This window comes from Homo sapiens, chromosome 3 (genome assembly GCF_000001405.40).
Source record: "Homo sapiens chromosome 3, GRCh38.p14 Primary Assembly".
Classification (NCBI taxonomy): Eukaryota; Metazoa; Chordata; class Mammalia; order Primates; family Hominidae; genus Homo; species Homo sapiens.
This window is the reverse complement of record NC_000003.12, coordinates 158,717,991-158,745,987: the sequence shown is the minus strand read 5'-3', so window position 1 is coordinate 158,745,987 and position 27,997 is coordinate 158,717,991. Positions and strand designations below refer to the sequence as shown.

Sequence of the window (27,997 nt, the reverse complement as noted above, 5' to 3'; positions counted from 1 at the left end):
TGTATCAAAATTTTTGCTAATTACTAATTGCTATTAACAATTACCATTGTTACAGCCCCAGTTCTAATGTTAACATGATATCTGTTATGGGCTCAATTGTGTCCCCCCAAAATTCATACATATATTGAAGCCCTAACCCCCAGCACCTCAGAATATTACAGCATTTGGAAACAGACTCTTTAATGAGGTAATTCGTTAAAGTAAGGTCATTGGAATGGGCTGTAGTCCAACATGACTGGTGTCCTTATAAGGAGACAAGGACACAGGCACACACAGAGGGAAGATCATGTGAAGACACACAGAGAAGGGGAAGCCAAGGGAAGAGGTCTCAGAAGAAACCAGCCCTGCCTACACCATGACACTGGACTTCTAGCCTCCAGAATTGGGAGAAAATAAATGCTGTCTGATCTGCCCAGTCTGTGGTATTCAGTTATGGCAGCTCAGCAAACTAATACAATATATGAAAGACTCTGCTCATGATGAGGTTAGGTCTCGCCCAGCAGTCACTGTTGTGGTAAGCATTTGTGCTGTTCCACATACTTCCAGCTCTCCACCTCCTGGAGAACATGATGATATTGTACTTTCCCACCCCCTGAAGAAGTTAAGCATCGCCTACGACATGCTTTTGTCAATAAAAGGTGAGCAGAAGTAATATGTATCACTCCTGAACAGAAACTCTAAGAACCTAAGCATAATTCACCCTGTTCTCTTTTTCCTCAGTTGTAGCAACAAGAAATGTTCCAGAAGCAGCTGCTCCACCAGCCTGCCCTGTGGAATAAGAACACTGACAATGCTATGGTAAAACCCCCAGCCAAACCATAACGGACTTGTGATGAGAGCAACAAATAAACCTTTTTTATCTTAGGTCCTGAGATGTAGGCATTGTTTGTTATTGCAGCATATCCTAGACTACCCTGACTGCCACATCAGTTTACTTACAATTCAAAATAGGAGTCATCTCATTTACCAAATTCCAGACATTCATTTGTTTCATTTAGCTCAGAGCAATAAGCATATCAATTAAACTCTGATCTTTGGTGGTTTGGATTTTTTTTTAACTTAAAATATCTGGTAATAAGGCCAGGCATGATATCTGCATGATAGTAAGAAGGCACAAGTCTTCTTTCAGAAGGTGGGAAGACGTTAGTGAGATGTGTCCAAAGAAAGGACAACTTAGCAAGGTTCTCTGCACCGGGTAGGCACAGGTAAAAGAGAATAAAACTACAGTGTTTCAAACCGGCAGTTCCCTCTGTTTGCCATGTAATTCATCCCACACCCAGCACTTTACACAGAAGAGACTGAGCCAGTTTGAGTTGTTGAGCTGGGACTAGACCCCATGCCTTCTGACTCTCAGACCAGAGCTCTTTGCCCTGTACCATCCTTCTTAGTTCTTTAAGAATCAAGATAGAATTTCATTTTAGCCAACAATAATATCTCCTTATCCTAAAGCCTCATCATAATTCTGATATTTACCAGTGAAGAGAAAAACATGTTTACAGTGGCATTTGTTTCAAAAAAATAATCCAACCCAACTCACCCTGTGCACAGTAGGCTCTTTTCAAGGCTAGGTGTGCAGGGACTTTAGAGAACCCTCTAAGAGCAAATGCCCATTGCTGGGCTTCAAGGTTTTCCACCTTTTTCCTTTACTGCTAAGTAGCCACTGGCATGATTCCAGCCAGGTTCACTGCTGTTCTGTTTGGTCTTCCCTACAATTCATTCACTCGGCCCACACCTTCTGCCCAGACCAGTCTGCCCCTTGCTGCTCTCACAACTTGCTGACTCTTCTGAACGCCCACAAATCCAGCTTTTCTGCTTCTGGACTTGAAGATCCACCCACCGCACATTACATTCCATGGAACTAGGGGCAGGGTGGCTGAACAGAAGCCTGCACCAATCATCCTCCCTGCAGGAGCACCAAATTTTAACAACTAACCACACACACAAATCAGCACTGTCATAAGAACACTCCAAGGAATCAACCAACCTCTGTCTGTATGTATTCACGTATTCTAAGTCATCTAGGTGATTGTGTTGTCTATTTATTAGCCAGGTGATTTATCAGTACTTCTGTTTGCTCTCACTATTATATATATGCCCTGGTGTGCACCCTGTAGAAATAATGGTGAAGAGGGGAAAATAGAATGAGGGCTTTCTAACACACTGTCCTGTTATCTAGGCTGCCACATGTGGGAAAACGCCTTCCCCTGAGGTATGAAGAGTTGGTTTTGGTTTGCCTTGATAACATACTCTATGCAAATTTCACTGATGAACACCAGTGTCATAAACAGAATTGCATAGATCAATCACTCCAGAAAGTTCATGGCATACAAATATTAACAAGTGTTATGAATTTTCTTTGAAATTTTCTTTGAAGAACGTAAGATTCTAACTATTATTGCCGGAAAAAAAAAAAAACATTAAAATCCTTTATTTCACTCTGTAATGAATACACCATCTTCTCAAACAGGAAATAAGGTTTATGATTTCAAGCTTTATTTAAACACCCTTTGCTTGAAAAACTAAAACAGTCCCAATTTGTAATTTATTTTACATCTCAGTTTATAGATCACTTAGAAGAGTGTTAATTCATTCTTGGAATGGCAAATGTCCTGTCTTAAGTGACTGATGGAAAAACAAAATGCCATGCCAAATTCATCAGAAAATGTATAATTGAGCTATAAATACATTGTGTTCTTAACTAGCATGACATGCCAAAAATGACAGCTTACTTTGGAAAATTGCAAAATCCAACACATGGGGTACTGACCATTTTCACTTCATTACATTTGAAAGCCCATCTGTTGGCAATTACGTGTCAACATGGGCTTCTCAAATCCATGTAATCTAAATTACTTTTAGTTTTAAATGTGAACACATGGCAGGTTTTAAAAGAATTATTTCATGCCACCAGTAAGGGGAGCACAGAAATGTGTAACAGTTCTATTAATCAGCTCAAGCTTAGTAATATTTCTACATCAAAAGTAGTAGAGCAAATAGGCTGTCTCCATTGTGTACTTTGGCTAACAACCAGTATTGAGATCACCAAATAATTTAAATACAGGAAACGTGATGCTTTCCATCTTCTTTAGAAGCCACCAGTCTGGTTAGCCCAAATGCCACACACAAATGGTCCTAAGTTCCTGGCTGTTGAGTTTCTCCAGGACTACAGAGTCAGCCTCACAGGGGCCTGAAGTCCAACCAGGCTCCCTGAGATGTGGAGAAATGCCCATGTCAGAAACAAGGCTTTATCACTTCTTCCATAGCCCCCAGGTAAACCAGAAAAAAATGAAGCTTTCATTAATGGTGACAGAGACAGCTAGCTGTTCTTCTCTAAGAAATGATCTTTGAGGCCAGGCATGATGGCTCACGCCTGTAATCCCAGCACTTTGGGAGGCCGAGGCAGGCGGATTACCTGAGGTCAGGAGTTCAAGACCAGCCTGGCCAACATAGTGAAACCCCATCTCTACTGAAAATACAAAAAATTAGCTGGGTGTGGTGGTGGGTACCTGGAATCCCAGCTGCTCGGGAGGCAGAGGCAGCAGAATCGCTTGAACCTGGGAGGTGAGCCAAGATCACACCACTGCATTCCAGCCCGGGTGACAGTGTGAGACTCCATCTCAAGAAAAAAAAAAGAAAAAAAAGGAAATGATCTTTGAATATAGTTCTAAAGATTGAGTGACTTCTTCTGTATTCTTCTCTTCAAGTGAAATAATCTCAACTTACCTAACCACAAAGCCACATTTCCTGGCCCTTAATTCACTTTGCCACTGTAATCGAAACCCTTAAGTAAATCAGAGTCTACCCAATTGTGGAATGTACAAGCAGCACTTGGGTGGGCCATACCTGAGCTTGAATCTGTTCCGTGCTCCCTTCTTACTGATACAACCTCGACCAGTTACTTAATTCTCTGTGGCACCCAGTTTAGTCCTCAAACTTGTGGAGATTAAACAAGATTATTCTGTAAGAGAAAGCATATAGCATCATGTCTGAAACACAGCTCCACAAAATGTTACTTGCTCTTTCTCTTCCCAAACGAAGTACTATAGAGAAAAGTCAATTGTCTATAACTGTGCTGTATGATACAGTTATCATCAGACACCATGTAAATATATGTGGCTATGTATATTTAAATCTATTTAAATTAAATACAATTAAAAATTCTGTTCTTAGACTGCACTGGCCATAATTTAAGCACTTGGTAGCCACATGTAGCTGGTGCAGATATGGATCATTGTCATCAGAAAGCTCTCTTAGACAGGGCTGATTACCTTATCCCGTTGGGTGTTGACACTTCCAAACACATCCATGTCAGTGTCTACCTAAACTATGTCATGTGAAATCTTTCTACCTAAACTATGCCATGTAAAATCTTTCCTTGGTGACAGGAATAAATGCAATCACCCCGTTTTCTGTGGCATCTCTTTTAGAAAGAACCTCATCTCCAGTTCCGCATCCCCAAAGAATTCAGTCTCACTAGATTCAAGCTGGAAAGGCTTCTTCTTTAACCTCATAGATTCAGAAAACTCTAGTTAACTGTTCCATTGCAGCCCAAATCCAGATTCAAGGGTCATCTGCACTGCGACCTTTGCCTTCCTGCTGAGAGTCTGGTGGGCTGTGGGCATAATGCTGAAGGCTCCAAGCCCTGGCTCTTGCTCCTAAAGCAAAATACCATCGCTAGGGACTCAACACAGCCACATAAACCTCGGGTAGCTTATAGGCACAATATTTAGGACACTGTGAATTCCCCCAATGAGTCCCAAGCACCTTCACAGGAGAGAACAGTAAGCCAAATGCTCTGGGAACACAGCTCACTCCATTGATTAGGGGCTCTGTTCTTTCTATGGACAGCTAAGCGCCTTCCTACAAGGGCTTCAGGACAGGCATTATGGGCCCAGGAACATGGCATGGTACATGTGTAGGTTTACAGGGCTTTACCTAAACAAAAGCTGAGTTCCCCCCAGAGCATGCAAGATACAGCCCCAAGGAACCAGGACAGCTGCCTTTTCTCCACCAGCATTCTGGTTCCAAAGCTCTGAGATAACAATCATCTCGGTCACACCCTAGATTTGGTTAATCAGATTTCAATAGTCAAGGCTGGATTATCCATATTCTTCTTGCCAACCTCACCCACCCTCACCTCTGCCAAGGGGGAAGACCAAAAATGATTACAGATTCATATTTTCTTAACTACAAATAGTTCTAATGAAAGATTAGGTTACAGGGGCTACAAGTAACAGCTGAAATTTTATTTAGTGGTCCAGCAGGTTTCAGTCCCTGCTATCCCTTCTCATCTTTTGTGAAAAGAAATCCACAGGTGACTTCCTTTTTTTCAAGATTGTATCTAATTTTTAAGTTAATGGCAATAACAATAATAATAGCAGTCACTTACATAGCCATTACTTTGTGCCAGGCATTGTCCTAAATGCTTCACATATACACAGATAGTGAGTTGTTTGCACCTTACTAACAACTCAATGAGGTAAGAGGTACCACAAAAGCATAGAGAGGTGAAATAACTCACCTCGGATCACACAGGTCAAGCAGGGCTATAAAACCGGGCAGCCTGGCTCCAAGTCTACTCTCTGAGCCACTGTGCAACCTACAAACGATAACAGAAAAGAACCCAAAGACTTAACAGTTAGAGAAAGCCCCTCTGACCCCAAGCATTCTCTCTGTTCCCCTAACCATTGTTAGTCATTTCTGATTTGTCCTTCCAGAGACAGTCTGTGTGCACATCTTTCTAAATGCACATCTAGAAAGAAGAAGCTTCTGATATCACCTTGGGCAGTCACACTCATGCACAAATAGGAGATGTTTTTATCTTTTCTAATAACTGATATCAACTTTGCTTTCCAAGTCCCTATTTGGGTGCTTACACTGGTGAGTGCAGGGGCAAGGACAGAGGAGAAAATAGTCTCAACGAAGGGTACCTTTGCAAAATACTCCATCCACCCCAGTGTTTCTGCTGTCTTCTCTGATGTGACTCTCAGCCATGATGTAGGTTAAAGCGTCTATCTTAGGGATTCCTTCTCCTTCCCCAGGGTCTTTTTTCCTCTCTCCCCACAACCCTGCTCTCCCTCACAGCCTTAGAGAGGGCAGCAGGGCTTGTGGAGCTCAGAGACGATGCTCAAATGGGAACAGACAATTGTCCAGCGTGGAAGCAGTCACTTCTGACCTGGGGTCATGGCTTGGCCTGGCCCCTGTGGCTGACAAGGCACTACTGCCATGGCTGGGAGTTGCTGGTGAAAGGAAATGTCCCTTCTCCAGCTGGGTCATCCCAAAATTGGTGGACTCTGAAGATATGGTAGTCCCAGTGCAGGTAGCAGCTGTGGTGTTCCCAGATTGTTTGGCTTCCACCACACCCGGCACTATCTCCCCACTGCCTCCCACCTCCCACCCCCAGTACGAGGCAGCCTTAGATCTCTGTGTTTCCTGCCAATACTAACTGCCTGTTGGATGAAAATCCATTAGGAATTTTCAACCAACGTTACAAAACCACACTCAGGCTGGCTTTAACCATGAAATAGACTTACTGGTTCTGAGTCTAGAGACAGGGCAGGCTTCAGATGGGTCACGGTCCAGTGGGTTAGTAACACCCCCAAGGGCCTGGTTTCTTTCCAGGCTTCATCTCTGCCTTCCACTGAGTCGACACCATCCTGAGCCTCTTTCCTGAGGGAGGCAAGATGGCACCACCAGCTTCTGGGGCACACACTTCCTCTCACATGCACGGTAGAGGAAGGGAGAGCACACACTCTCAGAAGAGCAAGACAACTTCCCTCCAAGACTCCACCAACCGCTTCTCCTGACTTACTTGCCCAAATAGGGTCCTGAGCCTATCCCTGAACCCACCACAGTGACACTGTCTCTCTCCAGTCAGATTGCCAGAATGAGGTGTGTTCAGCAGCACTGGAGAGAGGTGAGCAAAGGTGAAAATCAGAGCAGCATTAGCAGGAAGAGGGGACAGCTGCTGGGAGGCCCCCCGCACACCTGCGTCCACATGCCCTCACCTGTTCTTGATGTATTCTCAGGGCTTGGCTAAGAGAACCTGGGGCCTGAGATGCTTGGGAACTGGCTCCTGGGCCTTCTTACATTCCACAAGCTGGGGTGGCCAAAGGTAACCAGGATGGCAGTGTCACTATGACCTTCTTTCTCCGCAGCCAACCACCTGGTCTCCTCATGCCCAGTCCTCTCATCTGCTGCGAAGACACATCCCAGGCCCTCTGGGACGGGTTTGCTATAGACTGAATTGTGTCCCCCCAGTTCATGTGTTGAAGCCCTAACCTCCAATGTGATGGTATTTGGAGGTGGGGCCTTTGGGAGGCGATTACAGTTAGATGAAGTCTAACCATAATTACTAATCCCATGATGGGATTAGTGTCCTTATAAGAAGAGACACAGAGGCTTGCCGCTTCCCTCTCTGCTGTGTGAGCATGCAGTTTCAGGCCACGTCAGGAAGAGGGGCCTCGGCAGGAACTGAATCAGCCAGCATCTTGATCTTGGACTTCCCAGCTTCCAATCCATCGAAAACACATTTCTGTTGTTTAAGCCACCCAGTTTGTGGTATTTTGTTATGGCAGAACAAGTTGGTTAAGACAAGGAAAATAAACAGCCAATGCCTCTCAGAGCCCTCTCTCTCTGCTCTCTGGCCTCTTTATGTAGTCAAGAGGATAGGAGGGGGGCAAGTACAGCTGTTCAGGGGCTGCTGGATACGTCTACCTAGCATAGGGCACAGAAGCCAATGCTGCAATCTGCTCAGTCAGAACTTAGGTCTCTTGGCTCAAGACCTGGTCCCTATTTAAATAACAGTACTTCCAAGATGAGCAATGCAGTGAGCCGTGGCAGCCACTGACACTACAGTACGAATCTGCTCAGCAGCTCCTTCCCTGGAAGTTTCAGTGTGAGGAAACATGACTAGGTCCGAGGCAAGAAAGAGTGTGGCGAGGCAAGACTCAGAGAAAGGGAGACAAGCTGGAACTACACAACAAGCAAGCAAGGCAGGCAGGCTCTGGCTACGCAGAACGACAGCACTGTAAAGCTCCTGTGGCGGTCTTCCCTACCGGAGGAGAAACTGATTGAAGCGCATTCGGAAACAGCACCTCATTTATTTACTTATTTAGAATAGACAATATACATTATACACACATGAAAAAAGCAACCACCACAAAAGAGAGCCAATGGTGAAGAGTTTCTCTCTCATCCTATATTGGCAATTCTTATAAACCTTTGCAGAGACAGTTTTTGCATATTTCCACATTTATGTATGTTATTTTTTTCTTTTTAAACAAATAGCAGCATACTACTTGCCCTACTCTACACCTTGCTGTTAACAACATTATACCTTAGAGATGGTTCAGTATCACACACACCTCAATCTACCTCTTCTTCATGACTGTACAATATTCCATTCTATGGAGGTACTATAATTAGTCAACCATGAAACACAGGTGTTTTCCCAGCCCTTAACTCTTCATTGTTTAAAAAAAAAAATCTGTATTCGTGTCTATTGTGTGCCAGTCACTGTTCTAGGGAATAGAGAGTAGAAAATGAGACATTCAGTGTCACTGCCGTGGAGGAGTTTACAATCCATATGTGGAAATGAACATCCTTGCACATACTTCTTTATGTACATGTGTGAATGTATTGTTATTATAAACTCTCAAGGTGGAATTGCTGGGTCAGAGCCATGTGCATTTCTAATTTCAATAGATATTGCAAATTGTCCACCAAACAGGTCATGTCAGTTTCCCCTCTCACCGTCTGTACTATCTTTTCATATGATTAAAAGTCATTATAGCTTTATATACCATTAGGTTTCTTAAACACAAAGTAAGTTCTCTAAAATGCTCATGATAACCTGAGCAATGACTAAGGAACTAGGGAACATGACATATCAGGACACCCTTGTGGGGACACATCTGCTTCTGTGCAGAGGCTGGGGCAGAACCTGCTGGCTGATACTTTCCTCACCTCCTATGTGGCACAGTCTTCCAGCAGCCCTGGGCCAGGGGTGGGATATGATGACAGGTCTTTTGGAGAACGTGGTGGACAGTTAGCAATGTCACTCCCCCACACAGTATGTGGCAAGGAAGAAGAATCTGTGTACACACAAAATCTGTCTATGAACTGAGAAAAAACACAGGGATACCCATGACAGACCAAGGCCTGATTTCCCTCGTATTGAAAGAGCTTCTACAAATCAACCAGAAATCCAACCACCCCACAGGTAAGTGGACAAAGAATATGGACAGTTCTTGCAAAGGAAATACTCTGTGTTCCAGAAAATCCCTGTTTATAAAATAAATACTATAATTAAATGTCTACATGCATTGCTGATCAGCATCAATTTGCCCCCATTGTAACTGTTATCACTATTTAAAATAGCTAACCTCGGAAGAGTGCCCTGAGCTCACACAGCAGCACTTGGTCTCCTGGTCTTTTCTGTCTTCCCTCTTGCTTATGACTTTCCATGATTCTCACCATCTCATCTCATAGGCAGGAACTGCACACACGCTGCACAGGCTGCCTGTTGGCCACTATCAGCCATTCCCACCCTTCCCCTCCTCGCCTCAGTGACAGAGGTGGCTACTTCCTTCCCACTAGGCATTATCCCTGCAGGGACCCCACTGGGGCTCTGCAGATTCCCAGATCCCTTTCTCTGAGTCTGCCCCTTCCACTTGGCATGCTTTTGCTTCTGACCTAAGGCTCCTGCAGCTCTTCTGGGAGGGCTGTTCTTGTGCTACTGCCCTTTTGTGCCCACCTATAGAAAGACTGAAGTACCTGGGTTATCAACGAGGGTGGCTCTTAGCCAGTGGCTGACAGGCATAGAAGAATGGAAGCCCAGATACCCTGCCTGGGGCAGGGACATCTCAGAGGCATTGTTTACAGTTGAGAGCTCCCCTTCAGGTCAGGCTGAACCTACCTGTCATATAACTGTCTGAGATCCTTGCATGGCTATCCTTCTTCTAGCTCCTTACTGAATTCTGCTCGGAGCATTTCTTTTAGGAACAATCTTTGTTTCTGGGCCTGCTTCTAGGAAACCCAACGTAAGACACAATCTTCTTCCTCAGTAACAAAATCCTGAGTTTTATTTTGGCATATGGCCACCGTGAATAAAAACTACATTTCCCAGCTTCCTTTGCAACCAAGTTCTTGCCAATAAGATACAGGGCACAAGTGCCCTGTGAGACTTCTAGGAAATCCATAAAGGGAGTCCTGCTGATGGCTAGTGTCCATCGTGGACCCTGAGGGCAAGGGGTACATCCTCAGGATGTGGGAGCAGAGATCTGGAAAAGGCCTGGACCTCTAACAACCTCATGGATCTGCCAATACCAACCGCAGATTGTCTACCATCCCACCATTACCCCACAACTTCTTTTGAGAAATAAGTTCCTCTCCTGTTTAAGCCAATGTCATTCGGGTGTTTATTCCATGCAGTTAAATTTAATCCTAGTTTACAGACCAGACCATTGACTCTGAAAAACGACAGACACTCAGTTTGCCAGCCTCCCTTGCAGCTAGGCTTTGCCAGTGTAACCCAGATCTGGCTGAGGAGGTATAAAGGAAGGTCTTGGGGGGAAGAAAGGTGTAGGCAGGAGGTTCTGGAAAAGATATTTCTTCCTGATGCAAAAAACAAACAGGTGCACAATGTCCAGCTCTCTTTCCACTCTGGCAACCTATTCCCTGCTACCTGCCTTTGGCTGCAGCATGTGAAGATGTGCTGTCTGGAGCTGTGGCAGCCATTCTATAACCAGGAAACTACAAGTGCATGGACAAAAAGCCAACCAGCTGAGGATGGCTGTGCAGAAGGATGGAGAGAGCCTGGGTCTTTCAGAAACTCACTGAGATCTCCCACTCCAAACCAATAAATGGTCCACACTGTTAATCGGGTTTTCCATTACATACAGTTGAAAGCAATCTAACATACTCACAGGGAACAAAGCACTGAAGTAAAATCACCTGGAAGTGATCAATTCTCAAAAAGCCTGCTACTATAACCTCTTGGAGGGTGCTATAGTTTGGGTGTTTTTGTCCCCTCCAAAATTCATGTTGAAACTCAATTCCCAGTGCAAGAATGTTGGGAGGTGGGGCCTAGAGTGAGGTGTTTAGGTCATAAGAGTGGGTACTCTCTCACTCTTCCAGCATGTGAGGACACAGCGTTCCTCCCCTTCATAGGATGAAGCACGCAAAGCCCCATTTTGGAAGCAGAGACAGAGCTAAGACCCCACCAGACACCAAGCCTGTTGGTGCCTGGATCTTGGACTTCCAACCTCCAGAACTGTGAGAAACAGATATCTGTTCTTTATAAATTACCCAGTCTCAGGTATTCTATTATTGCAGCACAAAACAAACTATGGGGAGATGACTGGGTTCTGGGAGGTGATTACCTGTGCTAGGCTTGCCTCTGAGGGCAAGAAACAGCAACTCCAGCTTCAGGGAAGTGAAATAATAAGAAATAAACTCCAGGATCCGCTGATTCCTGTGTTCAACAATGCCATCAGGAACCCAGGGCCCTCCCCTCTCTCTGCTCTGCCACTCTTGAAATGGGCTTCATTCTCAGGCAGCCAGCAAGACAGAGGCATGCTTCTGGGCAGCACAGCCAGACCTAACTGGGGCCTATCGAGGGCCTGCACTCTCCCCCTTGGCTTCTCCCTCCAGCTGGATTTTCTTGCTTTTCTTCAAACATGCCAGATAGGCTCCTGCCCTAGCCTCTGCACTTGCGTTCCCTCTGCCTACAGTGCTTTTGCATACATGTCCACTTGGCTCTGCCTCCTTCAGGTCCTCACCCAAATATTACCTCCCGAGAGAGGCCTGCCCTGACCACACCTTTTAAGATTAACCACCTCCCAACTCCCCATTTCTTTTTCTGGCTTAATTTTTCTCCCTGGCATGTAACTTCATCCAATATAGCACACATTCCCTTGGCCTCACTGAGTGTCCGGGCCCCACTTGCCTAGAAGGTGTGCTCCAGGAAGGCAGAGATGTTTAAGATTGTTCACCCTCATTCCCCCAGGGCCTGGCACAGGTGTTTCACAATTATCTGCAGAAGGAAGGAAAGACAGACAAGGGACAGACAACAGCCAGAGGAAGAAGTGCAGTAAGACAGGATCTTTCCAGAGATGGCACCACGCCCATCAACCCACAGGCTTTGCTCACCATGCAGAACTGGCACATGCCCACTCTCAACCACCCACTGGCAAAAAGAGATTTCCTTTAGCCCCACAATGGCACTGGGGTCCACGTTTGGTGCAGGGGTAGACCCCTGAACAAAATGCAGGATGGAGAAATGGATGTTGGGAGTGCCTAGCAGTACCAGTTCTCCTCTCTCAGCCCTGGTTCTCCAGGACTTTTTCTCTTGCCTACGGTTTAAAAACAATGGCTATCTTAGCCCTTCACTGCCACCTGTCTAAAAAGAGTTGCCGCCGGGTACCGTGGCTCACGCCTGTAATCCCAGCACTTTGGGAGGCCCAGGCGGGCGGCTCACGAGGTCAGGAGTTTGAGACCAGCCTGACCAACATGGTGAAACCCCGTCTTTACTAAAAATACAAAAATTAGCCGGGCATGGTGGCTGTAGTCCCAGCTACTCGGGAGGCTGAGGTAGAATTGCTTGAACCTGGGAGGCGGAGGTTGCAGTGAGCCAAGATCGTGCCACTGCACTCCAGCCTGGGAGACAGAGCAAGACATGGTCTCAAAAAAAAAAAAAAAAAAAAGAGTTGCCAACACTTGCTGCCTCCATTCCCTGAAGCCCCATCCATGCCTCACCCCGCTGGAATCCGACTTCCATCCCCGGCCTTTAAATCTGCCTCGCACAGTGGTTATCAATGTATCAATGACCTACTTGCTTCTGAGACAAATGGGACTCTCAGGCCTTATCTTACCCTGCCTTGCTGCCCACTCCTCCCTCCTCGGCGCCTCTTCTGGGCAGGACCGGCAGGTGTTCAGGCCCGTCCCCAGCCCCTGGCTCCGGCGTCCCGGGCTCCCTGCCGGCATCCACCTTCACCTCCTCCCCAGCCCCAGCCCTCTGGCGACTTCTCCCACCTCCACAGTGGCTGTGCCACGAGGAGCCCCATCAATGCCCGCTGCGGCCTGCCCCTTTCTCCGCCGTCCCCTTTCACCTGCTGGGAAATCACAGCCCTAATGCTTGGAGAATCCAAGCAGTTTCCCTCTAAAACCCCAGGGTTGCGAAACCGCAGGGGAAACGCCAAGTCCCTGAGCTGGGCTAGGGACGCGGTACGAGGTAGCACGGGCGGGCCGCGATTCCTCGGGGAGGCGTCCCCATTGTCCCCCCAACCCCGACCCTCTCCCGCCGCGGCCTGGGCCAGAAGCACCCGGCCCTGCGCTGCGGAGGCGATGCCGCATCCTAGCACTAAGCCCGGGCAGCGGGGAGGGGCAGAGAGAACCCAGGGGCTGCGGGAAACGTGGAAAAGGAGTGGCCCCATGGGGACCCGGGCTCGCTACAGACCTTCGCCCTGGGGGCGGAGGGGAGGGGCCCACCACGGCCTTATTTCCGCGAGCGCCGGCACTGCCCGCTCCGAGCCCGTGTCTGTCGGGTGCCGAGCCAACTTTCCTGCGTCCATGCAGCCCCGCCGGCAACGGCTGCCTGCTCCCTGGTCCGGGCCCAGGGGCCCGCGCCCCACCGCCCCGCTGCTCGCGCTGCTGCTGTTGCTCGCCCCGGTGGCGGCGCCCGCGGGGTCCGGGGACCCCGACGACCCTGGGCAGCCTCAGGATGCTGGGGTCCCGCGCAGGCTCCTGCAGCAGGCGGCGCGCGCGGCGCTTCACTTCTTCAACTTCCGGTCCGGCTCGCCCAGCGCGCTACGAGTGCTGGCCGAGGTGCAGGAGGGCCGCGCGTGGGTGAGTGCGGAGCGACGCGCCGGGGCACGCGCCTGCCTGTCCGCGCACGGCGCTGGGAGGTGACACCTGGGTACGCGCGCCTGCCGGCCCAACGGATGGTCCGCCAGGGAAGGTGCAGTGCGCACGACGCCCGGGGAGATCCCAGCTGGGCCTGGCGCCCCTGAAGTATCCCAGGGCGTGGAAGGGGCCCCTTCGGTGCACAGCGTCTGCAGAAATCTGGCTCGTTCCTTCCAGCATTTATGAGGTCATAGGTTTTTCACAGGGCAGCGCTCTTGACTGCTCCCACACCTGGGAAAGAGATGCTTTGGGAAATTGAGGAACAGGCTGAAAGGGCAACATTTAATTTTGTCCGGAGGTACCCAGAGTTGGTTGCTATGGGGGTGCTTACTGTGCCTGCGCCCTACTAGTGGCTGCAGCCAAAGTTTTGGGCGGGATTTCCAAAATCTAAGCCAGTAGCCATACCATACCGCGGACGACTGTCTCTTGTTAATTGCAGTCCACCACGCTAGGGCTTCGGGGTAATGTGGTTGGAATTTACACGTAGGCCTGGGCAGAAACCTGCTAATGCTGGCGTCTGATTTGATCTAATTAGAAGTGAGTGAATCCGAGCCCAGTGTTCTATATGAACCGAATGAATGAGAACTTTGCAACCCGTTGTTTGGTTGCTGATTTCAAGGCATTGACTGTAGGAATTGTCTCGTATGTGTGAAGCTACTTTGCGTTCTTCATCCTATAGATTACAAAAGTTACAGAACTACACTAAGTCTGTCCCAAAAGCAAAGTTGCTCCTTCTACAACCTCCAGATATTCCACAAAGCCTGCAGACACACGGCCTCAAAGAATCTGGAATTGAGTATCGCATGTATTTAATAAATAGGTCGAGTTTTAAAGTGTAGCAGCAGGATTTTCATTTAACAGTGCCAAACGCCTGGAAGCAAACACCATTGGAAAGTCCTTCAAGAAGCTCAGCCTCGGTTCTTCAAAACTTATTCCTGTACCCGGCACGGCTGTATTTATTGAATGATTAAATCAAATTGTTCCTAGAAAAAGGCAACCTGGCCAGGCACGGTGGCTCACGCCTGTAATCCCAGCACTTTGGGAGGCCGAGACAGGTGGATCACCTGAGGTCGGGAGTTCGAGACCAGCCTGACCAACATGGAGAAACCCTGTCTCTACTAAAAATACAAAATTAGCTGGGTGTGGTGGCGCATGCCTGTAATCCCAGCTACTTGGGAGGCTGAGGCAGGAGAATCGCTTGAACTTGGGAGGCGGAGGTTGCGGTGAGCCGAGATTGCGCCACTGCACTCCAGCCTGGGTAACAAGAGCAAAACTCCCTCTCAAAATAAAATAAATAAAATAAAATAAAATAATAAAGAAAAAGGCAACCTGCTGGGGCATGGTGGCTCACGCCTGTAATCTCAGCACTTTGGGAGGCCGAGGTGGGCAAATCGCTTGAGCTCAGGAGTTGTAGACCAGTCTGGGTAACATGGCAAAGTACCATCTCTGCCAAAAATAAAAAAAATTAAAAATTAAAAAAAAATTAGCCGATGTGGTGGCGTGGGCCTGTGGTCCCAGCTACTCAGGAGGCTGAGATGGGAGGATTGCTTGAGCCCAGGACCCCAGGACCTGGAGGTTGCAGTGAGCAGAGAATGTGCCACTGCCCTCCAGCCTAGGCAACAGAGTGAGACCCTATGGGGAAAAAAAAGAGAGAGAAAGAGAGAGAGGAAGGAAGGAAGGAAGGAAGGAAGGAAGGAAGGAAGGAAGGAAGGAAGGAGCAACCTATTCTTGTCACCTGTCTTTGTTTTTTTTTTTTTTTTTTTGAGACAGAGTCTTGCTCTGTTGCCCAGGCTGGAGTGCAGCGCTGCGATCTCGGCTTACTGCAACCTCCGCCTACCAGGTTCAAGCGATTCTCCTGCCTCAGCCTCCTGAGTAGCTGGGATTACAGGCACGTGCCACCACGCCTGGCTAAGTTTTCTATTTCTAGTAGAGACAGGGTTTCACCATGTTGGGCAGGCTGTTCTCGAACTCCTGACCTCGTGATCTGGCCGCCTGGGTCTCCCAAAGTGCTGGGATTACAGGCATGAGCCACCGTGCCGGGCCATCTTGTCACCTGTCTTAACAATCCTTGCTGTCTGAGATACAAAAAAGTTCAGTTTTCCTAGTCCAACAGAGCAGTGAGATAACGGACCTTGAGAACTTTCTATCAAGGTAGAAGAGTAGTAGCCAATGCCCAGAGCCTAAAGAAGGGGCGTCTAAGGATTTGCTCCCTGGTTACCAGGGGCAGGATTCCCTGCAGAAAACCAAGCTCACTCAGATTTCTAAGGTACACCAGTTTTCAATCCCAGAGATTTTTTTTCCCCTTCCAAACCATTTTAAAAAGGAATAATAGGCTGGGCGCGGTGGCTCACGCCTGTAATCTCAGCACTTTGGGAGGCCGAGGTGGGCAGATTACAAGGTCAGGAGTTCAAGACCAGCCTGGCCAAGATAGTGAAACCCCTTCTCTACTAAAAATACAAAAAGAAATTAGCCGGGCATGGTGGCAGGCACCTGTAATCCCAGCTACTCGGGAGGCTGAGATAGAGAATTGCTTGAACCCGGGAGGCAGAGGTTGCAGTGAGCCAAGATGGTGCCACTGCACTCCAGCCTGGGCAACAGAGCGAGACTCCGTCTCAAATAAATAAATAAATAAATAAAGGAATAATAAAATAACTTGCATTATCATGCACTTAGTCACCCCCTTGAAAATAAAATAAGATATTTGACATCCTTCATAAAATAATCAAACTAGCTCTCAAAACCCGAGTGAATAAAGTAAAAATTCCCAGCCCCTGCATTGCTCCAGTGAGGATGCAGGGGCTGGGAATTTTATATAAGTTACATAAATCTTAAAGAGGTCTTAAACATCATTTAGTCCAATGGCTTTGGGAAAGGTTATTTAAGTCTTTTCTGGCTATTTCCCTGTTTGGAATGGAAATAATTCATGTTCTGCCAACAATGTCAGGTGGTCTAAGGAGTCATATAAGATATGAGTGCCAATTAGAAAGTATAAAAATGTGAGTTCAGGGGTAGTCTGTTCATCCATTAGCTATGTATTGAATGCTTACTCTGTGCCAGGAACTGGGCTAGAAGTGTGGCCTAATTCATATTTAGCATAGGGTCATTAGGGAAGGCCTCTTTGAGATTCCCTCAGTTTTGAAGCACTCCACTGCCTGAGTGAAGAGTGTAGACACACCTACATGGAGCTTTCAGTGTAGTCATAAGAAATTCCTGCCTCCATTATAAGAGCAGTCATAGCACTGGGGAGAAGTAAAACATGGGCCAGGCGCAGTGGCTCTCGCCTGTAATCCCAGCACTTTGGGAGGTTGAGGCAAGCAGATCACTTGAGGTCAGGAGTTCAAGACCAGCCTGGCCAACATGGTGAAACCCCATCTCTACTAAAAGTACAAAAATTAGCCAGGCATGGTGGTGCGTGTCTATAATCCCAGCTACACAGGAGGCTGAGGCATGAGAATCACTTGAACCCGGGAGGCAGAGGTTGCAGTGAGCAAAGATCATGCCACTGCACTCCAGCCTGGGTGACAGAGCGAGAATCTGTCTCAAAAACCAAAAAAAAAAAAAAAAAAGAAAGAAAAAGAAACCACGATTGATCCCTCCAAACTCAGGTTTGCACTCTACCCAACCAGTGCATTGTTGGACTGAGTGCTCAGCTGCTGCACAATGTCTATCATCCATCCAGAACTGACCCTGAGGGGCGAGCAGGTAGCCAGGTAAGGAAGAGAAGTGTAGTTCATGGGTATCCCTCCCAATTCTAGGGGTCACTGCATTCCTTTGTAAGATGAGAGGCTGAGATGAAGTCAGGGTTTTTCAAACTAAGGGCTCACTAGGGTTATAAAGCCAATTTAGTGTGGGATCCGGTTTTTTTTTTTTTTAAACGAAATAGTATAGACTACAAACGATTAGAGTGTATTGCGAAAGCAAGGGTAAGTAGTGTCTCCAAATGTGTTTCAGATATATATGTATGACCTAGGTCATAATGAGAAATTCAGTTCTTGCTGTGGGCTGCAGCTTTAAAAAGTTTTGAAAGCCTTTAGACTAAATGATGTTTAAGACCTCTTCTCGCGCTGAAATTCTTTGATTCTGTGAGCTGTTGGCGCGTCAAGTTATCTTTCATTTTAAAAATACTGTTGCCCTCTGGTGGTGAAATGCAGCAATAGCTGTGGTAGTAAATTCAAGGAAGAACTAAGTGCTAGCTGGAGGTGGGTGGAGTGGAGTGGAGGAAGTGTTGTTTTGTTTTGTTGCTAATTGTAGGCGAAATCACAGACCACGATTTGTGTTCCCTCACTGCCCCCACCTGATGCCTTTCTTACCTGGCCTTACACTACCTTTCCATAACCAATGAGGCTTTTACTTTTCTAGTATTACATGGCATAGGCTCAGGACCCACAGTTGGAGTGGTGGGAGATTTTGGATGGTGCTGAGCGATCTTATGCTTCCCAGGGTTTCCTGGATCATCCCCACAATGTTTGCCCCGCTCCTGACTATTCAAGGCTGTCCCTTACTTGAAGACAAGTCTCCTCTTGCCACTCAGCAAGTTCTGGGACCACTGGCTCTGCGTGGAGCATTTGGTGAGAGGCCGGCCTTTTACTAACATTTTGAGAGACTAGCTGAAATCTTCAAGTGCACACACTCTGTAAGAAAGTCAACCCATTCTGGAATCCACTATTGTTTAGGAATTGGCCACTTAAACAAAACACCCTCTGACCAGGCCAAGACCAGTGGTTGGAAACATACTTTAAACACTTGATCAAAGCATATGGGGAGAGGGGAGCTATGCCCATATCTTAATTGCTTCTATTTAAAATAAAATCTGTAAGTGTACATTTATCATCTATCTTTTGATATAGGGCCAAGGCCATTTAACTGGAGCTCCTTCCAGTCTGCACTGGTCATTTCTTACATTGTTATAAAGGAATATCTGAGACTGGGTAATTTATAAAGAAAAGAGCTTTGATTGGCTCATGGTTTTGCAGGCTCCCCAGGAAGTGTGGTGCTGGCATCCGCTTCTGGAGAGGCCTCAAGGAGCTTACAATCATGGCAGAGGGCAACAGGGAGCCAGCATGTCACATGGCAAGAACGGGAGCAAGAGAGCAAGTGGGGAGCTGCCACACCCTCAAACAACCAGATCTCAGAGCAAGAATTCACGTATCACCAAGGGGAGGGTGCCAAACCATTCATGAAGGACCCACCTCCATAATCCAGTCACCTCCCACCAGGGCCCCCTCATCTCCAAATTGGAAAGCACATTTCAACATGAGATTTGAAGAGGACAAACATCCAAATCATATCACAGTCTTTCTAGCAAGAAAACACACCCATGGGGAATCGTTTGTGGTTTCCATTTTTGTTTACTTATGGTGGAATGAGCTCTCAAAGAATATGCTGAACAACCCTCTGCTTTTACTTTTCCTTGCCTAATCTCAGCTTATTAACACCAATTCAACAGCTAAATTTCTAAAGCATTTAACTTGACTTCATGGACATGACATCTTTGTTTGTACCCGCTCTTCACCAGTTTACAGAATATTTACTTATGTAATGAGGTACTAAGTACATCTGATATATGCAAGTTTGGGAGCAAAGCAGCTGGCTTTGGGTAAGCATCAGGCCAGGCCCATATAGGCCACTAGGCAGGAGCCCGTGCTCGGGGGTTCAGTCCACCGTGGGTCTGACAGCAAGCATGGAGCCCTGTCCACTAGGCCACAAGGCAGTTAGGAGAGCACTTACTCTACTATGAAAACCTTTATTCCTTTGTGATTTCTCAATCTATAAAGCACATTAATACAACATAATTTAATTACTGCTCTTGAGGTCTTCTCTCCATTAATGTCAATAATTTTGAGGTGATTCAGGAGACTAGGAAAGCAAAACATTAAATTGTCCATTGAAACAAAAACTGGAGAATTAAAAAGGCTGCAATGAACATAGAGGGAGAAGATAAGTAATAAAATACTCAAGTGAACTAAGGGAGAAGATAAGTAATAAAATACTCAAGTGAACTAGTCTTAATTTTCATGTAAGGAAAGCTCCTAAGGGCTTTTATAGGCATTAGGAAAGAACAGCAGGGAGGGGGATATTTGCAAGATAAACTAGGATCTCTTCAGTGCCCTCACACTGCCCTAAGGATGAAACATAACAATTCTGAAAGCACAGAAGAGACAGGCAGGAATCTCTCCTTCCAGGCAATGTTTGTGCTGAAATAGCACAGATGTGCCTACGGTCTCCACCCCATCACCCACCACAGCAGCCATCCGGTCTGCAGACTCTGATCGCAGAGTCTGGGTCTAGCATGGGGTGAGAAAGGCCACTAGGTCCCGGGGTTAAAGCTTTGACTTTGACCTCCTTGGCACTTTGCCTCAATCTCCTAAGCTAACTACACCCGGATGAGCTAGCCAGTAGGAATGTTTTTTTTACCATTTTATAATAAATTGTTTTTAAACCACAATTTTTTTTTTACCAGCCCACGACATTTTCCACTTGGCTTTCCACATGTGGAGTCATAGCCAAGGATGCATGTAATCACAGAGCATTAGTAATGTCCCACATCAAGACCGGCAGTGGTGGGTCATGACTGTTAACTGCCAGAAGTCTGGCTTGGCTGCAGACTCATCCTTTAAGGACCTAGGTTGTTCTGCTGGAGACTGCATGTAAATAATCAGCCCACAACGACTGACATTGTGAGGCATGGAAGGTTATACATACACACACACTCGCCCAAATCCAACCTGAAACTTGATCTCACTTGCTGTTAAGCAGTGTATCGCCCCAGAGATGTATGACACTTATGTGACCTCGGCATTTATTTGCCTTTTTGGATGGTGCCTCAGTTGAAGAATGTTTCACAGAGATAGTCCCACAGTGGCTGGAGACAGTAGCCATAACAAATCCACTCTGGCTGACTTGCTATGGTTGTTCAGGATGTCCCTAGCCAGAAAAATCAAATTACAAAAGGAAATCTTCGCCGGGCATGTTGGCTCACACCTGTAATCCCAGCACTTTGGGAGGCCGAGGTTGGAGGACTGCTTGAGCCCAGGAGTTCAAGACCAGCCTGGGCAACGTGATGAGACCCCATCTCTACAAAAAATAAGTTAGCCACATGTGGTGGCACGTACTTGTAGTCCCAGCTACTTGGAAGGCTGAGGTGGGAGGATCACCTGACCCTGGGAAAGTTGAGGCTGCAGTGAGCCCTGATTGCACCACTGCCTTCCAGACTGGGCTAACATAGTGAGACCCTGTCTGGAAAAAAAAAAAAAAGAAAGGGAGTCTTGTACCATGGCTGTGTATAGGATGTATGTGATCCGTGGTCATCCCAAGGGCACATGCCCACACAGAACATGACATTAAGGATCACAGTAATTCTGTATTGGTATTGTGTCCTATTGCTGCTATAACAAATGACCTCAGATTTAGTGAGTTAAAACAACACAAACTTACTCACTTATGGTTCTGGAGGGTAGAAGCCTGAAATGGGTCTCCCTGGGCCAAAATTAAGGTGTCTGCAGGGCTTTGTTCCTTCTGGAGGCTCTAGAGGAGAATCCATTTCCGGCTTCTAGAGACCACCTGTGCTCCTTGGCTCATGACTCCATCCTCCATCAAAGCAAACAGCATAGCATCTTCTGATTATGACACTACTGTCTGCTTCTCATAGGACCCTTGTGATTACATTGTGCCCACAGGAATAATCCAGGATAATCCCATCTCAAGATCCTTAATCACATTGGCAAAATCCTTTTTGCCATGTAAAATAACATAGTCACAGATGCCAGGGATTAGGCAGTGGACATCTTCGGGCAAGGGCTGTGGGGGGGCATTATTCAGCCTACCACACCCCGTGTCCAGGCTGGCTGTGAGCTCCTGCAAATATTTACCATTCTGCCCGACATATGCCGGTACCCAGAAAATGCAGCTCTTGCTCCCACCTCCTGTCTTGCTGACCTCTGCAGCCTTGCTAACCTCACATGTGAACCCACCTGCCCTCTCCTCTCTAGCTCAGTACTCGACCATAGGCTGCTTTGTCAAAGCTCCTGAACAGCCAATTTTCTTTCCACTCTGCCCATGTGCTTGCCTATCCCAAACGAGACGGTCAGCTTCTACAGGGCGCAAGGTATTATATCATGTCTCTATCTCCTTCATTGCACTAGCACATGGCCTGCTAGAGACAAATATTAGATATTTGTTAAATTAAATGAAGGTAGCTGGAAGGGTGCTGAAATCACTGAGGCACCTGGAACAGGGAGACAGGCCAGGACCCAGCCCATTCCCATTGCTCCCAGCAGGAGAAAAGGAGACCTGAAGCCTCATGTCCTGCTCTCAACCAGCCTTTTCTGATTATCCCCACCTGAGGCCAGAGGGGACCTGGAGGGGGCAGCTGCCTCTGGCCACTTCCACTCGCTTCCTACCCCAAATCAAGAACGTGGGACCCAGGGTTGGCTGAGAGAGAGGACACACAGTATTCTGGCTTTCCTCTCCATTGCTACTTAGCCTGAGAAAGCAAAGCATTCGCACGCAAAGAGCTCCTTGGGCCCCACTGCCTGGGCCTGATCAGAAGGTAACTGACTTCTGTTCCATAAACTGTATTTGCTTTATCTGGCCTTGCCCGAGAGAAGGAAAATGCAATAAAATGATTCCAGGGTATAATATAATATACTGATGCTGTCTCCATCTGGAACATAAGGATAGCACAGCAATTTCTATGCACAAATGAGTTGTTTACTTATCTCCAACCAAGCCTGACTCATAAAAGTAACCTTATAAAATGACGAAGTTTGCTTTTACTGGAATAGCCTGACATTTATGTTTTCTTATCAAATGTGAATGCTGGAGGCGACATTTAGGAGCTGAGTCTGTTAGACCAGTGAGTCCCAAGATGCGTGGAGGGAGACTGGAATTACCTGTGAGCTCGTCCCCACCCACCCACTGCCAGCCTGAGAACAGGAAATTAACGTTGTCACAACCGGCACTAACACAACAGGAAGGACCAGCGCTTAGCAACCAATGACAGACACTGCAGAGAGGGGGAAAAATGGGAAGTGTTTTCTGTAGAGAAGCTTTGGGCAGAATCATGTCTTTGGAGACTCCTCCATGGGGTGGTGCACAGCGAGGTTTCTCCAGGACACCATCCCTGCTCTTTTATTTGCTCCACGTTTTTGTGGTGTTTTGAGAGAGTTTAAAGGGGATGTTAGATTTTTTTTTTTTTTTTTTGAGATGGAGTCTCACTCTGTCGCCCAGGCTGGAGTGCAGTGGCGCGATCTTGGCTCACTGCAAGCTCCACCTCCCGGGTTCAGGCCATTCTCCTGCCTCAGCCTCCCAAGTAGCTGGGACTACAGGCGCCCGCCACCACGCCCAGCTAATTTTTTGTATTTTTAGTAGAGATGGGGTTTCACCATGTTAGCCAGGATGATCTCAATCTCCTGACCTCGTGATCCGCCCACTTCGGCCTCCCAAAGTGCTGGGATTACAGGCATGAGCCACAGCGCCCGGCCAGGATTGTTTGATGTTTTAAATGTGCTCTTAGAATACATAAATACCCATTCTCTGTCCCTCATCAAGTTCCTTGGGTTCATTTCTAACACACCCAATATTTCAATGACTTTACCCAATCTTTCAAATATTGGAAAATATTTAAATATTTTAATATTTCAAATTGACTTTATGCAATTTTGGTGATTTTATGCAATATTTCAAAAAAAGTGGGTAGTGCCTAATGTAAAGATAGTGCAGACACCTACTGGAAGAAAAATCTTTGATCCATTAACATGAAAACAAAGCTTTGTGGTTTAGTATAAACAGCTTTCACTGAAAACAGGACATGACATTGTAGAGGTGCTATTAGAATGAACAGTTTTAACTTCTTGGTGCATATACAAATGTCATTATAAAACAAAGTAGTTATCCATCTAACAGGAAGCAAGGAGGGAATTTTCTTTAAAAATTATTTTAGTCCAAACTGCCTTCTTCGTGTTCCTTCTGGATACTCTTTTTTTTTTTTTTTTTTTTGAGTTTCATTCTTGTTGCCCAGGCTGGAGTGCAATTATGCCATCTCGGCTCACCCGCAAACTCCACCTCCTGGATTCAAGTGATTCTTCTGCCTCAGCCTCCCGAGTAGCTGGAATTACAGGTGTGCGCCACCACGCCCAGCTAATTTCGTATTTTTAGTAGAGATGGGGTTTCTCCATGTTGGTCAGGCTGGTCTCGAACACTCGACCTCAGGTGATCTGCCCCACCTCGGCCTCCCAAAGTGCTGGGATTACAGGCATGAGCCACCATGCCCAGCCCAAGTGTTCCTTCTCAAAGAATAGCACATACTGTGTCACCATGGAGTTTATCAGTTGCACCTGCAGAAGCAGAGGGTAGACCTGCCACATGCACTTTCTAAGGTATCATAACCTGATTCACCAGAAACTCCAGGGTCCTGAAGTCACCACACTTTGAAAGAACACTCCTCCATTTCATTTGGTCCTGATGATACTCTCAGGCATTTGAAGAGAATAGTCTCGGCGTCAATCTCCTATTTAGTGGTCAGCTGTATCCTAGTGATTGTCATCTGATCTACATGTCACTTCCTACCTGCAACCCTTAGACCTTCAGTGGTTCCACTCAGTAGCTAGAGAGTTCTCCAAGTGTGGTCCCTGGACCAACAGGATCAGCATCATGTGGAACTTGTTAAAATGCAAGTTCCCAGGCCCCACCCCAGACCTCCTGAATCAAAAGTCGGTGTAGATCCAGCATGCTGGGTCTTAGCAAGCCCTGTAGGGGATTACATGGCACACTCAGATTTGAGACTCACTGCTCTAGAATGAAGTCCCTGTAAGAGACCATCTCTAATCAGATCCCCCACCCACCATTGTAACCTCAACCCCAAGTCTACCCTGACTTAATCTGCTAACTGCCCCAGGCTGGTCTGCTCGCTTCCATGCCCTGGCACACACACTACCTTTCCAGAGCACCCTCTCCCTCTCTCGGCTTGTCTAATCCTAGTCCTTCCTGGAGATGTCCCCACCTGCACTGGGTTATACTTTCATTTATACCTTGTCTGAAAGGGTCTGCATCCAGGGGCTCCTTCTAAAGTCTTGGATCACCTTTACTTCCATCTGTTACGGGTTGAGGTGTGTCTTCTAAAAAGAAATGTTATATCCAAAAAGTTCTAACCCTCAGTGACTAAGAATGTGACCTTAAGTGTAAACAGAGTCTTTGAAGATGTAATCAAGTTAAGATGAGGTCATACTGGATTAGAATGGGCCCTAAATCCAATGGCTGGTGTCCTTATATAATATTAAGGCCATGTGGATATGCAAACAGACTCAGAGGAAGACCACCATTTAAAGATAAAGGCGGCCCGGAGAATCCCTTGAGCCCAGGAGTTTGAGGCTGCAGTGAGCTATGATTGCACCACTGCACTCCAGCCTGGGTGAAAAGAGCAAGACCCATCTCAAAAACAAACAAACAATAATAGAGGCACAGATTGGAGTGATTCAGTTGTAAACTAAAGAATGCCAAGATCGACAGCCACCACCTAAAACTAGGAAGAGGCAAGGAGGGATTCTACCCAGAGTCTCAGAGGAAGCATGGCCCTGCTGACACCTTTAGATTGGCCTTCTGGCCTCCAGAACTGTATGAGAATAAATATCTGTTGTTGTAAGCCACCTAGTTTGTGGTACTTTGTTACGGGAGCCCTAGCACACTAATACATACATCATGCCTGGCAGTCTCCCTTCCAGAGGAAGGTTTGCAGTGGTTCTTGTCCACAGGGACCTTGGTTACAAGCAGTCCAAGAGCATCCCAGCGCTCTCTCTCTCTCTCTCTCTCTCTCACACACATACACACACACACACACACACACACACACACACCAGCAGCCAGCTTTTATTCTTCCTTTTCTTAGAGAGGTTGCTGGGCTCTATTTTTCTGTGCAGTCCTGTGCGGTATTTGGGAAAAACGGGGCTCTGCAGGCCAGTTTTCCTGCTTCCTGTGTTGTGACTTTGGCCAATTCCTTAAGTTTGGTCAAGTGCCTCCATTTCTTCATCCTTAAAATGGTGATAACAATCATACCTACTAAAGGGCTTTAGTGATATAATAGGTTAGTACATGGGTACTATGTTGGGTCGGGTGAGGCACACAGTAAGAGTACAACACGTAATCACTTTTATCATGATTCCCTCCAATGATGCTTCATATGTAAGCACTGAATGAATGCTTAATATTGATTTGCTAAGGATTTGAGGATCATTTACCAAAACATAAATAAATAAAATCTAGTGTGATGAGTTCAGGTCTTTGAAAGCATTCCATTGTACATTCTCTCGAACAGGTCTTTGAAAGTGGCCTGTTTCCCTCCAAACTGATTGCAAATCAAACCAAAATCAAAGTGCTGATCAGTCACTAAAGAGTACATGATGGTATGGCATATGAGGAAGGGGAGGTGGAAGGTATATGGGGAAGGGGATGGGACTGCCTCTTTTCACTGTCCAGTGGGGCCAAAAATCATCTATAAAATAAACACACAAAAAGTAAGGGCCGGGTGCAGTGGCTCAAGCCTGTAATCCCAACACTTTGGGAGGCCAAGACAGGTGGATCACCTGAGGTCAGGAGTTTGAGACCAGCCTGGCCAACATGGTAAAATCCCATCTCTGATAAAAATACAAAAATTAGCCGGGTGTGGTGGCAAAAGCCTGTAATCCCAGCTACTCGGGAGGCTGAGGCAGGACAATCGCTTGAACCCGGGAGGTGGAGGGTGCAGTGAGCTGAGATTGCACCATTGCACTCCAGCCTGGGTGACAGAGTGAGACTCTGTCTCAAAAAAAAAAAAAAAAAAAATTAGAGCATAAACCATGTTATTAGTGGCCCATGATTATGAAGAATTTAGTTCCAGGCTGTAGTACACAAGTCTTTTATACATAATTTTTTAAAAATCTACAGTGAAGAGCTACTAATTTATTCCTTCAGGTTATACAGTCATATGGTCATTTGCTTGCTTTTTCTTATTAAATAGCCCTTTTCGGAAAAATATTGGAACAATGTGCTCTGCCTTTGACTGTGTTTAAAGAAAGGGATGTCAAGTTTCCTGATCTGTTTCACAGATGGGCAGTTCTGGCAGTGTGTTGGGGAAAGGAATGAAATCACTGTAATCTATATTACAGGAATCCTTCTTTCCTCAGGAAAGCTAGAATTGTTGGTCACCTTTCCTCGTGTCAGATTTGGCTGTTTCAAAAAAGTCTACTTACTTTTTTCACGGCTTTGAATTTAATGGATTAGCTTTACACCATGTGGCTGTAGCAACCTGCTGTGTAAGTCCCAGAGGGAGCATCCCTGGGCAAGACCAGAGGTCTTTATAAGGTGAGTGCCTCTAAAGCCCCACCTCCCCACAGGGTGCCTCAGGGAACATCCTTATATGAGTCAGTTTCTTCACAGACCTCCATCACTATTTCTCTGGGATGCATGCCCAGAGTGGTATTTCTAGGTCATAGGGCATTCACACATAAGCTTGATTTGACCACATACGCCAGATTGCATATGCCAGACTGCAGTCGTAAAGCCCCAAACCCCACCCAGCAATGGGCCCTGTCCACTTTCTTGATTGCCAGTCTACTAGTGGTACTGTATTAACTCATTGCTTATTTAATTTGCATTTTTGTATTTCTGTAATTACTAATGAGTTTGAGTAGGCCTTCAGAGCTTTGTTAGCATACTTAATACATGTAGGGTGCTTAGAACAGTACCAGGCAATTGGCCCAATTATTGGGCTACTTGCATTATTCTGTACACACAAGCATCTTTTAAATGACACAATGTTAAAAATGTTGTTTTAAGGCCAGGCACAGTGGCTCACACCTGTAATCCCAGCACTTTGGGAGGCCGAGGCGGGTGGATCATGAGGTCAGGAGATCAAGACCATCCTGGCTAACATGGTGAAACTCCATCTCTACTAAAAATACAAAAAATTAGCTGGGCCTGGTGGCATGTGCCTGTAGTCCCAGCTACTCGGGAGACTGAGGCAGGAGAATTTCTTGAACCCAGGAGGCGGAGGTTGCAGTGAGCTGAGATCATGCAACTGTGCTCCAGCCTGGGCGACAGAGCAAGACTCTGTCTCAAAAAA

General features: G+C 46.6%; 1 protein-coding gene and 1 long non-coding RNA gene across 6 annotated transcripts in view, besides 3 other annotated features; one reads left to right on the top strand and one right to left on the bottom strand.

Annotated features, from left to right (window-relative positions):
* LOC100287290 (uncharacterized) overlaps positions 1–13,627 on the bottom strand; it is a 52,192-nt gene extending 38,565 nt beyond the window's left edge. Inside the window, exons 1-6 of one of the 3 annotated variants that reach the window (NR_171781.1) lie at positions 13,460–13,627; positions 11,951–12,037; positions 5,522–5,599; positions 3,844–3,958; positions 3,507–3,616; positions 2,472–3,207 (exon numbers count right to left, since the gene is read on the bottom strand). This is a non-coding gene — a long non-coding RNA (uncharacterized LOC100287290). Of the gene's footprint in view, positions 1–2,471; positions 3,208–3,506; positions 3,617–3,843; positions 3,959–5,521; positions 5,600–11,950; positions 12,038–13,459 lie in introns of those variants that run through there. The other 2 variants (NR_171780.1, NR_171782.1) reach the window with 2 other exon arrangements.
* Positions 13,079–13,579: an enhancer, noted in NCBI's record as "H3K4me1 hESC enhancer chr3:158450198-158450698 (GRCh37/hg19 assembly coordinates)". NCBI's record gives its function as "activates a minimal SCP1, AML or CMV promoter by ChIP-STARR-seq in primed H9 embryonic stem cells {active_cell/tissue: H9 hESC(primed)}" and the evidence as "EXISTENCE:reporter gene assay evidence [ECO:0000049][PMID:30033119]".
* RARRES1 (retinoic acid receptor responder 1) overlaps positions 13,531–27,997 on the top strand; it is a 35,566-nt gene continuing 21,099 nt past the window's right edge. For all 3 annotated transcript variants that reach the window (XM_005247686.6, NM_206963.2, NM_002888.4), the window contains exon 1: positions 13,531–13,848. In XM_005247686.6, the coding sequence (XP_005247743.4) occupies positions 13,573–13,848 (276 nt within the window). In that variant the 5' untranslated portion in view covers positions 13,531–13,572. The remainder of the gene's footprint in view (positions 13,849–27,997) is intronic.
* Positions 13,657–13,716: a silencer, noted in NCBI's record as "silent region_14848". NCBI's record gives its function as "represses an Ori minimal core promoter by ATAC-STARR-seq in GM12878 lymphoblastoid cells {active_cell/tissue: GM12878}" and the evidence as "EXISTENCE:reporter gene assay evidence [ECO:0000049][PMID:35858748]".
* Positions 16,442–16,620: a silencer, noted in NCBI's record as "fragment chr3:158447157-158447335 (GRCh37/hg19 assembly coordinates)". NCBI's record gives its function as "represses an EF-1alpha promoter that drives an FKBP-Casp9 reporter gene in an ReSE screen in K562 erythroleukemia cells {active_cell/tissue: K562}" and the evidence as "EXISTENCE:reporter gene assay evidence [ECO:0000049][PMID:32094911]".